Genomic DNA, 16313 nt, shown 5'->3' on the forward strand with positions numbered 1-16313 from the left:
TGATTGTGACACTTGGAAGATAAGCTGAAGACACCCCTTTCTAGATTATCACAACATGTCAACTAGATACAGAGCAGGGCTGCAGATCTAGATGGCAGGTATGTTTATGCTGCATGGGGAGCTATGGCCGCTCTGGAAATAGTGATGGGCTTGTTTTGCAGTGCTGTCGAGCATGTGTGAGTGAGGTGTGAGTTAGCTTCTGCACGTGAGAGCCCAGAGTTGTCTTCCTGTGTGTATTTATTCACGGTACTGAAACATTCGAAGGACAATGGGAGAACATGATTCCCCTCGTGTTCCTCCCAGATAGCCTGGTTTGGAACATTAGCATGTATTGGAAAGTAAGTTGAAGCCACATACTTTGGCAGTTTGGGGGGTATCAGCAATTTCATTTGGTCCATTATGGTGTAGAGAAAGCTCATGAGTCTGGGCATCAGCTTATGTGACTTCTAACCCTGCTCCGCCATGAGCTACCTGTGTGATATTGGGCAAATCTCTCTGCTACTTGGTTTACCCATGTTATTAGTTTAGACTCTAAACTGGAATGGATGAACATCTTCCTGGCTAAAACCCAGTGACTGACATGTGGACAGTAGCATACTTGTGAGTGATGCACACAGGACCCCGAGGACTTGGAATTGCATTCTGTCTTGACCCATCACATTTCTCCGACTGCCAACTTCAGACTCTCCCACTGCAACCTCAGACTTAAAGTAAAGGGAGCTTAAAATACTGGGGGGAAATATGGGAGGCAGAATCTCTCAGTGCCTGTGTAGAGTTTTTAAAATGCGACCCGGTTTTGGTTTAGTCACTGAAAAGTTTGTGGGAGCCTGGCGGTTCCAGGGTGCACACCACTCCTCGTAGCAGGTCCCCTGTCTTGTGTGCTGTGTCCCCCCGAGGTATGCTGGTGCTGGTGGCCCAGGCAGGAGGTGACACTCTCAAAGTGACTGGTCACTACGTAAAATGTGTCTTTCTTTTGTTTGTTTCCCACCTGCTTTCCGAGCCCCTTTCTCGGACAGGTAAGATATCCTGTTTTTTTGTGGATGACTTACATCCCCAGATGCCCTCCTCTGCTTGGGTGTGTGCATGTTGGGGGGTACTGTTGGGAGGGCCACCTGGCTGGGGTCCAGTCATCTCTCTGTCCTCCATTGCCATTATTTTCTGAACCATCAAGCCTCTAGTCCTGAAGCAAGAGAGATAATGTGTGGGGGTCATTAGCGTCATCATCAAGAAAGGGACCCATTGCACATCCTCAGACATAGGGATAAAGGGACCCCCCAGCCAGAGCCCCACTTTCACTTTGAATAGAAGGGCAGTTATCCGGGTCTGACCTCAAGAGCCCCTGAAGACCACTCCCATAGAGGGAGTTTTGAGTGGTTTTTATAAATGGAAAAAGACTTGTGAGCAGTTTCCCTACAATGTCAGTCCATCATGCAATTTTTAAGAATTCATATAAAAGTCAAATTCAATTAAACAAACTTATTAAATGCCTACTATCGTGCAAGACCCTAAGCTGGGCATTGTAGAAGATAAAGAAACACTTCAGGAGCTATGGCCCTCAAGGACCTTACCATTTTAAGACAAGGTGTATTTACTGGAAAGACTTAGACAAGGGTAAAGGGAGTGCATGGTAGGCTATCTTTACATTACTTAAGAATTCAGTGCGTTATAGACTATGTTATGAAGGGTAGAGAGCAAAAAATACAGGAAATCCAAAATGGTGCATAATCCAGAGTTCTGTTTATTACAAAGAGTGTTTTAAAAATAATAATAGCTTATAATTTACTAATCACCTTGACAGGTGTTTTTGGTGCTTGCCTTTTTAAAAACGAGTATGTCTGCTCTGAAAAGTCACTTTAAACCAATAAGGAGACCACCAGGGAAATGTCTGATTTGGGAAGTGGTGGCAATTTGCCTTCCCCGGGCATTTCGTACAGTTTCATTGTTGTCTATGTACTTTCTGGTTTGGGGGGAAATAGTTAAATGGTTTGGTTTCCAAATCTTCTTTGCTAGTTTGCGGATGACGTGATTAAAGAAAATAAGAAGGATGTGGGACCTGACAGGCAAATTGTGCCAAAGTGGATGATGTGGCAAGATACACACTTAGGAGAATCATCAGGAGTTGATGACCCTGCTTGCTGTGGAGCGGGCTGGAAGCTTCTGCTGGTGTGGTGGGTCTATCTGGAGCCCAGCCAGCTTGGGCCCTGTGTCCCAGGGATGCTGTCATGCTGTTCCCTGGCAGGTCCTCACCCTGCAGTGGTGCAGGCCACAGGGCTCATCCGCAGAGAGTAGTCTCCACTTCACTTCCCACAGGTTTTCCTCCCTGCCACCCAAAGGCCCTTAGAATATGGCATACCTAGGTAGTTGGCCTAGAAAGGATAGCACCACTGAAACCACAAGAAAGGTTTTCACTGGCCCGGGATACAGCAGTGCAGGGCAGAAAGAACTGCTTTACACAAAAATTCAGCAGAAGAAAAAGTACACCCTAACCCCAGTTACTCTTAGAAGAGGCTCAGTGAAAATAGACACTTAGCAGAGGTGTTCACAAGGAAAGGAGCCTAGTCATCAAATGATCGAGCGATCTCCTTTCCTCAGACTGACAACATATCTGGGGTAGTTGGTGTAGACAGAAACCTTGACCCAGATTCCAAGGCCTCAGAGTGGGTCTGGCTGCCTGATGACTGAGCTGGATTTCCAGATAGGGAGAGGATGGCCAAGTGTGAGTGTGTGGACAGCATGGCTTAGAGCCTGGAGCTCCAGTCATTTCAATAACAAACCTTTAAGCTACCACCTTGGCCACCACAATTTTCTATCTACAAAATGGGTTTTGGCGATTCAAGATCTGTATTGAGCACAGCTAGGTACCAAACCCAGGCTAGGTGTTGAAAATACAAAGATGAATGAGGCATGCTCTCTGCCTTGCAAATCTTTACAACCTAATGGGTTTATACCCAGCTCTTTGAGTTAATTTTTCAAGCCAAAGAGGATCCCTACAAGAAGGACCATGTACCAGGCATATATAGGCAGCTGTTCCATGATCTATAGCAGGGCAAAGTTGTGGACAGAGCCCTGAGCTGTGGGTTAGAAGGCCTGAGTTCTAGCTCCAGCCCTGCTAGTATTTAGCTGTGTGACCTCAGGCACGGCACTGCATTACGCGGAGTCCTGCAGGCTTCATCTGTAGGTAGATATCCTTCCATGTACCACCTCCCTAGGTGGTTGTAAGGATTAAGTAAGCTGATGTTCATTGGGATCCTCGTGCTTCACTGGCACCGAGTTCCTATCCATTTGGTACGAACTGATTCTGAACCACCACTTAGCACCTCTGCAAGAGCTGGCCCACTCGCTCAAGGCCCACCTCTGTAGACCTGAGGAGCTGCTGCCCCATTTTTTGTGGAGAATATGTGCTATACTCATGGCCTTCAGTGGGGAGCTTCTAACACCAAGCCTCATCCATGCCATCCCTCCACCAGCTTCCAACCCACTGAGAGCTCAGCACGTGCTTACGGTGATGTAAAAATGTCATGTTTCATTGCTTCATCCTCATTTTTTCTTTACTCCAAAGGGCGTGGTGACTCCAAGGTAAAGGGGCCAAGCCCATGAGTCAAGGAGGCAGGTTTACAGGAACAACTTTATTTTTTTATGGCTAGCATTAGTCACTGATTAACTTGGGTGGGGCAGAGCTAGAATTTCTAGTTCCTGTCCCATCAAGAAAACTACACTGGAAAGTTCAAGAGTGTCTTTGCTGGCTCTTTCTTGAATATTTCCAAAGCCTTGGAAGTTACAGGTTTTGGGTGTGGGATAAGGAAAAACTGAATGATAGAGCACAGGTACCGCTCCCCTTTCCTCATCATGCCTCTCTGTCGCCTCTTTGTTCATAGTTGACCACGGCATGTTTGAGAATTTGAACACAGCCCTCACTCCAAAGCTCCAGGCCAGCCGCTCCTTCCCCCACTTGTCCAAGCCCGTGGCCCCCGGCTCTGCCCCTCTGGGCTCTGGTGAGCCTGGGGGGCCAGGACTCTGGGTGGGCAGCAGCCAGCACCTCAAGAACCTGGGCAAAGCCATGGGGGCCAAAGTGAATGACTTCCTGAGGAGAAAGGAGCCCTCCAGCCTGGGCAGTGTGGGTGTGACAGAGATCAACAAGACTGCAGGAGCACAGCTGGCCAGTGGGACTGACGCGGCTCCAGAGGCTTGGCTAGAGGATGAAAGGTGAGCCCCTCACCCGCCCAACATCCATGCCCCTCTGTGGACCCACTTGAAAAGGTACAGGGACAAACTGCAGTGTCTGCACAGGAGAACAGCCCCAAGGGAGGGGTGTGAGATTGTCCTGTACTGAAAAGCTGCAGGATCAGGCCACGTTCTCGGGAGCTGGCTTCACCTTCTGCAGCCACAGCTGAAGGTTGCTGAGTGCCCACCATGTCCTCGGCTCTGTGCTGCTGAAGGTTGCTGAGTGCACACCATGTCCTCAGCTCTGTGCTGCAGGCTATAGTTGCATCATTTTGTCTAACCCTCCCAGCAGCCCTGGGAGGTAGATGATATTTCCATCCTGCAGATAACTCACGTTCAGACAGACAAAGTAAATAGCTTGAGGTCACAAAGATAGTACTTGGCAGAGCTGGATTTGAACCCAGCTATTGCCCAGAAGGTCCCCAGGTAGATTCTGATGCCCGGCCATAGCTGAGAAGCGCTGCCGTAGACTGTTGCTTGTGGAGAAGCCTGCACCTGTCACAGCCCACTAGGGCACAGTGGGAGAAGCCCCCTGTAGCAGCCCTCCTGTTCTTCCCCCTCCTACCAACAGGCTCTTTCCAGGCCTTGTTTTAAACACCTGTGCATCTGAGGTGGGAATGCCCTCACATTCCCTGTTTTAAACACAGGACTTACTGCCTGGGTTCTGATTTGACAAGCTTCACCAGCGGTCTCTATCCTGTCTTCTAGAGGCCAGCACTTTGTGCTGCTCTGAACACTGAGTAAGCATGGACCAGGCCAAAAGCTACTGTTATGCTGAAATTGCTAAGGCCTATGTGCCAAACCAAGAACCAGAGCCCAAGGAGTAGAGCAGTTATTGGGTGGGGTGGGTTGAAAGTGCAGTTGGAGTTGGAGAAGCAAGATGGCAGGTGGATTGGTGTCTTGCTGTCCTTAAGGCATGTGTGTTTATTGTCATTAACCTTACAGGTCAGTCCTGCAAGAAACATTTCCTCGGCTGGATCCTCCACCTCCCATAACCAGAAAGCGAACCCCTCGGGCCCTGAAGACCACCCAGGACATGCTGATTTCATCACAGCCTGTCCTCAGCAGTCTGGAGTATGGGACAGAGCCATCACCTGGGCAGGCCCAGGACTCCGCTCCCACTGCCCAGCCTGACGTCCCAGCAGACGCTTCACAGCCAGAGGCCACCATGGAAAGAGAAGAGAGAGGCAAAGTTCTGCCCAATGGAGAGGTTTCCCTGTCAGTACCTGACCTAATCCACAAGGATAGCCAGGACGAATCCAAGCTAAAGATGACTGAGTGCAGAAGGGCCTCCTCCCCCAGCCTTATCGAGAGGAATGGCTTCAAACTCAGCTTGAGCCCCATCAGCCTGGCTGAGTCCTGGGAGGATGGCAGCCCCCCTCCTCAGGCACGGACCTCCAGCCTCGACAATGAGGGCCCTCACCCAGACCTGCTGTCCTTTGAATAGAGCCTCTGCTCTTTCCTGCTGAGCTCTGCCCTTGTCTTCCTGCTGCTTTCTCCTCCACTGCGCACACTGGCCCTGGCCTCAACTCCGCTGTGCCCTTTGTCTTCCTTGTATGAGGCACCAGCAGAGAGCCAGTCGTCCATCATGGGATTTTGCAGGACTGGAAGTCCTTGAGTAGTTCTAGTTAAAGAGTCTATCCGCAGAATGGCTGAAGGACTTGATGCCGTTTTGAGCCTAATTTTCTGTAACCTCCTCTGAGTGGGCTGCAGCCCTTGGACATTAGAGCTCTTCCACTCTTGAGCTTGTCCTGTCTTCTCAGTGAATTGCAGGGCCACCAGCTCAGGACAATGGATCTTACAGGAATTCTTTTTGCCTGTCCCCTACATGCGCCTCCTCCCCTGCTGTTCTCCCTCCCACACCCCTGTCCCTTCTCTCTCCTCCTTGATGGGTCCGATGCCCCTGGCCTCAGCGGGAGGAAGGCTGGATGAGGAATGATGTGTTTGGCTTGATGACAGGCCATGGCCTAGAAAGCCACACACCCTGACCACAGCCCAGCCATAGCTCCTCTTGGTCCCAGGACAGTGCAGGCCCCTGGTTGCCATGTTTGCTCTGCCCCTGGGGTGGAGGCCAGAGGAGATGCTTACCAGGCCTGAGACCTTGAGAGTTCACCCAGGGTTTGAACGCTGCCACCCAGGGTTCCCAAGGTTTCTCCCATCTGGTCAGATGTCGAACACAAAATGTGGGCATTCTGCACGGAAGGAAAGATCAGGCTTCTCTTGCTGAGTGTGTGAAGACAGGGAGAGCCAGGCCCCAGCAGATGCGGCCTAGCACACTCTGATTTGGTTTTGTGGGGAGGGCCCAGGAACTTGGGGGTGGTCTTGGCATTCAGAGCTGGTGCTAAAAACCCAGAGCAGAAGCAGGGAGAAGGGAGTGAGGATGGGACAGAGAAGAGCGACCACTGGGGATCAGAACAGCTTTTCAGGGGCCACCTTGCAGCCTAAAATAATGCCGTTTCAGGGCCTGGGCCTGCTGTGAGAGCCAGAATGAAGCATGTACAAGATTGGAATGTGAGAAGAACTGTGGGGGGAAACCAGTTTTAATTAAGTGGAAGTGCTTTGTGCTTGTGCTGAAGTTGCCTGGGCCTCCTGCAGCTCTGGACCTCACTGGAGCGGCCCCGCCCTGCCCTTGCCTGCCTTTCTTTTATGCTGATGCTGGTGGGCTTTTTCCTGCTTCAGGATCCATGTAAGGGACTGACCAGGTTCATCCAGCCTTAACTGGTTCCTGCAACCCACTTTTAGGTCTCCCACCAGGGGCCTATTGTGCTGTCTTCCTGTGACCAGCAGATCCTGTAAGGGGGTGATCCTAATTCTGGGGCTCTTTGCAGCAAGAGGAGAACGTTCTTTTTCTTGAACAAGGTGGCCGGTTCCCTGGGAGAAGGCTGGGAATGGCACGTCCGGCCAGGGCAGGCGGTGCGGCATCCTCCTCCTGGGATTCCTGTGGCCTCCCCTGTTCTATTCATTGTTTGGCTTCCCACCCATAAGCTCTGGGATACCCAGGGCTTGCTTCCCAGCTCTTCTCATCTCCAAGCCTCTGCTCCCCTTCCCACCACCACTGCCATATAAAATGGCCATGCTAACTCCTACACAACTAGGAGCCTCAGCAGGATTGCTAGGATGTGGGTTCCTTCCTGCATGCTTGCTTCTGCAGCTGTGTGGCCTTGCCATGGCCCTCCCACCACTTTCCCTTCTACCTTGCCTTCCATTGTCTTCCTTCTCCCAGAAAGCCAGGTTTCACCACGTGCTCACCACAAACTGTCTCCCCTCCCTCGTAGGAGTCACTGCAGTAGGGCACCTGCAGGCCCTGGTAGAGTGAGCAGGGCTTACGTGTACATTCTTTCTCACTCTAAGGATGTGATATCTGACCCTGATGTCAGAGAGGAGGTCTCAGGACTAGCATTCGGGGTCCTTTGAGTGTTCCCAGAATGGTTTGGGGTATCACACAAAACACCAGAGCTGAGGATAGGGATAGAGTCCCCAAACACACATCCTGGGAGCAAGCCACTTCATCTGAGCTTCCCATACCAGGAGCATGGTTTGTGCTTTGATGGGAAACCTAGCAAGCCCCTGCACTCTGGGGCTTCTCCTCTCCTGGAGCCCAGGGCGGCTCTGGCCCGATGATATGGCAGCCATAGGTACAGGTATTGCAGGTGCAGCCTTTCTTAAGTACCCTGCCTCCACTCTATAGCCCAGCTGCTGCTGGAGTCCAGGACCTTAGACCCAGGATGAGCAAAAGGATCCCACCAGGTTGTCCAGGACCATTGCCAGGGTGACCCCAGAGTTCTTCAGACCTGTGTCTGATACTGAATACAGTGCCATGGGACCCTGCTCCAATCTAACTGCCTACAACCTGCCCGTCCCCCTGCTGCAGGGATGTTGCTGCTACCTCGGGAGGCTCTCTGAGACTGGTGTCTGGTCTTAGATGCTGCACATAGTACCTGGTGCTAGGGTCTAGGGGCTGCCCAAAGCCCAGCAGGAACAGCTACTACTCATCCTGCAGAGGCCTTGGCCCAGACCAGCTTTCCATCCAAAGCCTCACCTGGTTTCCATGTCCATCTCAACAGTCTGGCCTTCCTGTGACTGTAGCCTGGCAGCCACACCCTCAGTAATCCCGCACAGTGAGTCCAGCTTCTCTGGGAGCTTGGCCTTCAGTTAGCCCAGTCCATGAGAGGGCAGGGTAATGAGGAGGAGTAAAGGACCTATCTTCTCTGTCCACATAAGGAAGTTGGGACCACAAGGTCTTTTATCTCCTTGTTACTCCCCAACCCCACCATAACCTCCTACTCAGCACACAGCTGTATCCTGGTAGATTATAAGGTGAGCTTCCAGAACCTGGCAGGAGGCTGGTGTATCCCCCTGCACAGAGGGAAGTGTATCTGAATGTTGTGTATGTGGCTGATATGGAAGACATACATGTATGCAATCCATCAGCGTTTAAAGAAGAAGATTGGCTCCAGTTCGGAGGAGGAGGAGGAAGATTACAGATCTATTCTGAGTATTTTTTAGAGAGTTAATATTTATATTTTTAGTAATTTTCTGGTAGAAGGAAATTGCACAATAAAATGATTTGGTTTGGTTTGCTGGCTTTGTCTGTTTTTCCTCCTGACTGATGGGGAGCAGTTGGTTTCCTCAAGGCTGACTTGTTGGCTGAAGTATGTTGGCATTTTCCTTTGTAAGCCTGGAAAAGTGAGAAATGAGGGAGGTAGAATGTGAGGAAGATGGGCATTACCGACACCTCCAGCCTGAACCCTTGGCGGGGAAATGACTTCTGAGGATGTGCCATCATTGGCTCCCCTGGCTGGCTGGCTGTGAGGGGGTACCTCTGCCAACCCGACCTATCACTGTTTCAGGATGTGCCATCATGATGTGCACAGGCACGACCCTCCTTGGGAGGAAGTGGGGATAAGCGGACATGGCCTTTGGATCATCCTCTAGGACACTCATTCTTTACCTGGGTCCAAAGCCCTCTTCCACCAAGAAAGGGATGAAGCTTCACATTCATGTATGCACGTTCTTCCATAGAGGAACCAGAGCTTCTATCAGCCTCTCAAAGAGAGTCATCAATATATGTCAGTGATTTGGACTTAGGTACTTCCTGGGAGATTGCCCCCAAGGGCCCCCCATGGACAGGGACATTCTTATTGCTCACCTGCGGAGAGAAGGTGGCTCAGAGAAGAGCTGGCCTGGAGTCCCTTTGCCCCTTTGCTGCCCCTGGGCCAGTGTCAGATCCAAGGATCCAGAGGACCCACACAGCTGAGAATTGGCCAGGCCTTTATCCTCCTTAAAAGGAAGGAAATGGGGGAAAAACAGGAAAGGAAAGGGGCGTTCAGTCTGTTCACAGAAGCCACGCACATTTCCAAAGGGAAACATGGGGCCTTTCTGCGCAGCCCTCTCACGTGCAGATGTGACTATGCCTGGGGTTGGATTCCACAGTTCCGCATGCAGGGGCTCCCTGGCTCCATGTCAGAGGCGTCTCAGGCTTGAGGCTAAGTCCCTAACGTTTTCTGCATTTTTTTCCACTCCCACACTTTGTTTCTCAGCAGAGGGGCAAGAAAAGAACAGCTGTGATCTCAAAGGTTGCTCGCTGTCTCTGCAGTGGGCTGCGGCGTTATCGTCCAGGGAAAGCAGGAAAAACACAAAAACCAATCCTCCATGTTTTGGGAAAAGGCATTGAAAATGCTTACGATAGCAACTTTTTTCTTTATAAGTATGCTGCGGTGACTCCAGACAACCTCTCCCATTGAATGGCTTCGGTATCTTGCTGCAGTCGTTCAGGTGTGAAACGTGCTTTTAACATGCCTTTCCCGCTATTATGTGAAGTCGTTATTTTTGTCTAAGATCAAGTATAAACAGTTCTAGTGTAAAAAAATTTTTAAGGGAATTTTAAGTGTGAAAACGGAAGTGCAGATGTCATGTTTTTTAATGCTGTGCTCTACGCTGAGTCACTGTTCTAGAATCTGGGGGACAAAGATGCATTTATTCAGACAATATATCCAAGCCCCTTCCTGCCATGCACTAAGTGCTATCTAGGGGACTGTGGTGACGTTGGTGGAAAAGTGACACGCGGTCCTCTTTCTCCATTCTGAATGGATGGGAGTGCCATCATACCTGCCCTCCCGGGCGCTATGCTAACAGGGTATGTGATCAGGATGTGAAATGCAGTGGAAGCACCAAAGTGGGGCTCAGGGTGAGGCAGTTAATTTCAGCCGAGAGAGTGCTCATTTCCTCTGGACTAAATCTGCCATTAGTAGTTGCTGAAGGAAACACACTCAGGGGCCATCAGGAGACCCACCTCATTCCTTAGGTCTGTGCCTATGCTGGCAGGGACCCCAGTTGGTATTCAGAATTTTTATGAAATTAGCCGACCCGGAAATGTACTCAGATGCTACCCTAATCTCAGAAAATTCCTGCTGGGTCAGTTTAATCTGCTCTCACATTTCACAATGCCTTTGAGGTCAGTGAATCCTGGGAGTGTTCTAGAACTCTCTGTGCTTGGACTCCCTGTCCTCCTCTCTCTGCTGCCCTCCCCACACTGCGGAGTTTCCCAGGCCAATCTAGCTGTGGTGGCAAACTCAGTGATGGTTTGTCTGAGACTTTGGCCCTCAGAGTGCCCCGGGCTTCAGTCGCTCAGTTCGCCGCCCTGCTTTGGGACATTCAGCCTGGAGCCTCCCACTGTGGCCTCTCTGTTAGTGGGAACAAGTAATTAAGTCCATATAGCCCTTGTAGAGAGACTCCTACCTCCCCCTTGGAAAGCTTCACCAGTGCAGATGGCATTTAATACCTTTCGTCTCTCCCAAGGAAATCTACTCTGGAAGCTTTAAGTTGTCCAGTGAAAGCATCTTCAAGTACATCTCCCCTCCAGGACGCCCCCTCCCTGCTACTGTTTGCACTGGGGGCACAGGAGGAAAGCCCAGAGTCCCCACCACTGACTTCCTCCTAATGAGAAAATTCCTCCACTTTCTGTATCTAGGGACCAGCTCTCCTGAGACACAAATCCTCTTTGTGTCCAGCTTATCTCCAGCTGCTGCCATGATAAATAGTCCAGCCCAAGGGAGCCTGGGGAAGCTACCCCACAAAACGAATCACTTGGCTATTAACAACACAGACGAGGAAGCAAGCTTGAGGAAATATTTAAGGACCACCTCAGACTCCAGACTGTATTCTCCTTCGTGCAAGTTGCCTGAGGAGTCTGTTGGTTATATAGAGCAGGGAACATTGCCAGTGTGTTCTTTGGAATTGACCAAAACAAAACAAAAAAACCCAAACAAAAAGCAACCTTCCGACAAACCGCAACATTTTTTTTTTACTGTTTAACCAGCCAGCTGTTTCCAGTGCCATCTGCTTAGCTACCTATTTCCTGAATCATCGCTCCATGTCTGCCGCCACCTGCTTTCTAGGCTTGCGTTTATTGGGAAATTCTTGTTGGCTTGGTCTGATGTTCAAGCACATCCCAGTGTTCAGCCCACTTCGGGGGCTCACTCACAGCAACTTAGAACAATTCCCTGTGGTTGTCACAGGAGTGCTTTGGGTTGGTCCAGGCCTTCATGGGGCAAGCCAAAGGGGCAGGAGAAAAGTGAACTGTCTGCCCTGGGAACGGTTTGCAGCTTCAGCAAGATGCATGCCCCCCACTTTATCCTGAGCCTGCAATGGATGGATCCCCCTTGCTGGATAGGAAAGCTCAAGACAAGCGGGGACTGCCCCTGTTGTTTTGCCTTCCCATAATCTCCTGGTACTTGGTAAATTCTGTTGCAGCCAGCCTCCCTTGTTCAGCTTAAATCCTGGGTCCTATGTGTCAGGAAGTCTTTGCAGCTGACCTGGCAAGTAGTCTTTAGACCTGGCCAATGTGTGACATTTCTAGGAACTGGGCCTCCCGGAGAGGCTGTGTAAGCCATCTAGGAAGCGATTTCACGTGTAAGAAAGCTAGAGGGGGAGGTGGGGGTGGCAGTCTTGTCCATGCCTCTCCCTACCCCACCCCCTTAATCATCAGTCATCGACTGTGTAGGTGGCACATGCTGTGACCTGGCCAGGAGGCTTGCTAAGACGCATGTGGGGGAGGTGTCAGGTGGGTTCTCCGCACTCTGGATTATTTGTGGCCGGCCTGCCTGCCTAGCTGGCGGCGACTGCCACTGCTGCCTCTGTGCTGTACTTCCCTCAGAGCCCCAGCCTGCTCCGAATTGCTTCCATGCCTGTGTTTAAGATGGTCCATCTGCCCGGGTCACGTTTCTACCTTCCCGTCCCTTTCCTCTGACTTCACTAGGCTATGTTAATTCATCTTTCACATTTCCACTCAGGCATCCCTTCCTCCAGGTGGCTTCCCGGACACCACCCCACCCCTTCTCTGCGTTCCCGTAGCATCCTATGTGTTCCTCCATCACGGTACTCTCCATGTGTCATAGAAAGTCGCTTCATCCTCATGCTTCTCTCCCCCAGGTCTCTGAGCTCAGGGGCAGGGACCATGCCATCTTCATCCCTGACTCCTCGGTTCCCAGCACAGTGTCTGGCATATTGCAGGAGCTCGATAAAGATGCACTTTGAATGGAACTAAACTCAGGAAACCTGCAGTTGAATTTGTGTGGAACAGACTAGACAGGCTCTGGGGTAGACCAGCAGGACTCTTTCAGCCCCTCTTCCTCAGGATCTCTATCCGCAGGCAGCCTCTGTACATGATCATCAACTCCACAGAGAAGGATTGAGGGTGGCCATTTTCGAAGTGGAAAGTGATTAATGGGCCAATGTGAAGCTCATTTATCTGCAGCCGGAGCCTTCATTAACTCTGTTCCTTGGACAGATGCCACCTTGCCACGGAGCTGGTAGAAGCAAGCACTTATATCCAGCATAATGCAAGAAGGGCTGTGCTTCAGTGCCAGGCACCTGCCTACCTCTGGGAGCTGCCTACAGGGCTCTGAGTTCCAATTCTTAACATTCTACTTCACTGTGTTAGGCTTGACTGTTAATTGGTGCTTTATCATTCTCTGAAGCTTCTATATACTCCAGGAATTGTGTTAATCAATTTATACACATGGTCTCATTTGTTTTTCTCATAGCCCTCCAAGGGAGGTCTTACTAAGCCCATTTTCCAGATACGGATGTTATTCTATTGTGCTTAAAGAGATTCACACACACGATCTCATGAATCCTATCTTGTGAGGGAGGTATTTCAGCCCCATGTTAGGAAGAGGTAAACTGAGACTGAGATGATGTCTAAGCCAATTCCCTGGGTCTTACAACTGAGAGGCAGAACTCTCTGGGAAGACCTAAGTCTTCAGGCCTGAGGAACAGCCACCCTCCCCTACTTCTCTATCTCCATCGCGCCAGTCTGATAAATAATTCCAGGAAACGTTCATGGCTCAGAAACATCTTTTTGAGTTAGATCTTCTCCAAGGAGTAATACAGTTTCATTAAACACTGCATATTCACATGGGATGGGAATTTAAAGACCCATTCCACAGTCCCCTCATTTTACAAAAGAGGAAACAACAAAGACTGCATTGTTAACATGTTAACCTGGGCTGGCGTCATCTCAGTGAAGCTCCACAGTAACTTTATGTGGTAAGTCATTATCCTCATTTTCTAGATGAAGCTGACCAGAGGCTTAGGGAGTCTTAGCAATTTGCCCATAGTCACTCTACCAGTAAGTGACAGAGCTAACAATAGTACCTCCTGAAAACATTCGTTCTTAAGGGTGTCGGTAAGAGCCTTCTCTGAATTGCAAGAATTTCGCCCTGCAGTAGGAGTGGCAAGAGCACCTATTACATCTCACATTGCAAACTCAGGGAAGCCTGGCTTAGAAACTAATCCTGTTATCGACACTGGAGATTAAGCATTCAATGGGGAAGTGAGTACTGTTTGGAGAATACTTGCTAAAGAAATATTTCAGGTCTAATAGCTACCATGGTACTCAGCAGGGCTTTACAAAAAAAGAGAGAGAGAAAGAAAAGGAAGGAAGGAAGGAAGGAAGGAAGGAAGGAAGGAAGGAAGGAAGGAAGGAAGGAAGGAAAGAAAGGAAAATAAAACCCTCAAGCAGTACTAGTTTTCTTGATGGCTGTCTGGCCTCTTGTGGCTGGCATCAGGTATTGCAGTTTCTGGTAACTGAAAGGAAGACTTCCATGACAAAACTAATAGTAATTTATGAGATAAATATTGTCTCCATTTTAGAGAGGCTTGTATCTTTCCTAAGATCACTTAACAAATATCATTTCAAGGGCAAAATAAAAGAGAGGACAGTTCTTAATTAGAAATTCCAGTAGGAGGGAAAAAATAGAAGAAATCTTTGAAAAATGAATGAGAATTCTCATTCATTCATTCATTCATTCATTCTATTCATTTAAATAGTAATAAAAGTAAAGAAAGATTAAAATCCCAAGAGCAAAATGGCCTATAAGGTTTCATATTTGATAGAGAAGAAAAAACTCACTATTAGACACATCACAGTGAAATTTAAGATCATGAAGACAGGCCATTTTTCAACTTTCCACGAAAAAGTTCAGCAGTGAAGGAGGATCAGATTGACATTAGACATCTCAGTAAGAAACCTACACATAAAGTGCTAGCAACTTAATATGTTTTATATCACTGAAGGAAAATAACTTTAAACCTACAATTCTATATTTAGCTCAACTATCATTTAAATTAATCTAAAATTAAAAAGACCGCAAAAGGTTTACCACTCAAAGACCATCTTTGATGAGAACACTTAAAATCTGCTCTCATAGCAATTTTCAAATATGCAAAATACTTTTGCAGAAAATATTCTGCCAAGAAGAGAAACTCAGGAGAGTGCTATGTGTTTTTTAAATTTACAAGAAGGATGACTAATTGACTCAGTAAAGTATACTGTTATTTAAATGATAAAGGACCCAAAAGAGTAAATAACAATTAAAATTTTAGATAATTTCAGAAAATCTGATGGGATTGGTGATGGTGACAGAAGAGAAATGAGAGCATGTTAAATTATAACAATTGATATATTTACAATGTTATAGAGAAAAATAAAAATACAGGGCCTAATAAGTTATGGGTAAACACTAAATTTTTTTAATAGAGCTTTCAAATTAACAGAGATAAATTTGATCTATTCAATGGAAAGCAGAAAAGGAGAAAAAAAGGAAAAAATGTATAGCAAATGGAAAGAATGTATAAGATGGCGGTATAAATTCCAATAGAACAAATTATAATAAACATGTGTTTTGAACTCACCAAACAAAAGGAGAGAATCTTAAATTGGAAAAAAAAAAAAGATCCAGCAATATTGTGTCCACAGAAGACAGAGATAAAAGGTGTAAAAACTTGAAAATGAAAGGACAGAAAATTACATACTAGGAAAGTATGAATAAAAGTTGAGATAGCAATTTTAATATGATGTAAAATATAAATAAAGGCAAAACTAATGAGAGACAAGGAGGAATACTTTATAAAATAAAGGAAATGAAGATGATAAAATAGTAATAAAAATATATACACATAAAAATATTAAAAAACAGTTAAAATAAAAATGGTAAAATAACAAAAACTAGTTAATATACTAACTATTATAATCAGAAAGTTAAATACTATTATATATAGAATTAAAAGATTTATCTTTCTCTGACGCTGATAGATCAAATAGATAAAATATGCAAATCTATGAAAATATTTGTTTTATATAATCTATAATCTTGAATACATTTGGGGAAGAGGTAAAGAGAACAAGCTTTAAAATGAATAGAAAGAGTAATTCAAACAAATGAAATATTCACAGAATGTTCACATATACCAGGTCAGCAAGGAAGCCTCAGAAATTGAAGTCAGGCTGTTATCCAACCTTAACGTGATATAGTTTGAAATCTATACTAAAATAACTAAAAATGTATGTTTGAAAACAATTATGAACTACTAAATAGTTTTTGGATTAAAGAAGATACTTTTACAAGAATTAAAAATACTTTGACCTAAACTGCAATAACCACTATTTGTGTTAAAATTTATGGGATACAGCTAAAATAGTACTTTGAGCTAAATTCATAACTATAAATATATTTATTAGAAAATAATAAGTATTGAAAACAAGTCAGATAAGCCCCCCTAAAATGAGGCTGGAAATCAAATAAATAGAG

The 16313-nt window shown here is 47.3% G+C and overlaps 1 protein-coding gene across 2 annotated transcripts, besides 2 other annotated features; it reads left to right on the forward strand.

The window, feature by feature from the left end:
- The first annotated feature begins 981 nt into the window (after nucleotides 1-981).
- Nucleotides 982-8797, forward strand: C1orf226 (chromosome 1 open reading frame 226). Of its 2 annotated transcripts, NM_001135240.4 has the most exons (3): nucleotides 982-1016; nucleotides 3876-4203; nucleotides 5167-8797. In NM_001135240.4, exons 2-3 carry the CDS (start codon nucleotides 3887-3889, stop codon nucleotides 5666-5668), a joined length of 819 nt encoding a protein of 272 aa, NP_001128712.2. In that variant the 5' UTR covers nucleotides 982-1016; nucleotides 3876-3886; the 3' UTR covers nucleotides 5669-8797. The 2 variants fall into 2 exon arrangements, with proteins under 2 accessions (NP_001128712.2, NP_001078844.1); NM_001085375.2 differs by lacking the exon at nucleotides 982-1016 and having other exon boundaries at nucleotides 3713-4203.
- Nucleotides 4364-4658: a silencer, noted in NCBI's record as "tiled region #12682; HepG2 Repressive non-DNase unmatched - State 15:Elon". NCBI's record gives its function as "represses a minimal TATA promoter and a strong SV40 promoter by Sharpr-MPRA in HepG2 cells {active_cell/tissue: HepG2}" and the evidence as "EXISTENCE:reporter gene assay evidence [ECO:0000049][PMID:27701403]".
- Nucleotides 13884-14178: a silencer, noted in NCBI's record as "tiled region #4437; HepG2 Repressive non-DNase unmatched - State 12:CtcfO". NCBI's record gives its function as "represses a minimal TATA promoter and a strong SV40 promoter by Sharpr-MPRA in HepG2 cells {active_cell/tissue: HepG2}" and the evidence as "EXISTENCE:reporter gene assay evidence [ECO:0000049][PMID:27701403]".

This window comes from Homo sapiens, chromosome 1 (genome assembly GCF_000001405.40).
Source record: "Homo sapiens chromosome 1, GRCh38.p14 Primary Assembly".
NCBI lineage: Eukaryota > Metazoa > Chordata > Mammalia > Primates > Hominidae > Homo > Homo sapiens.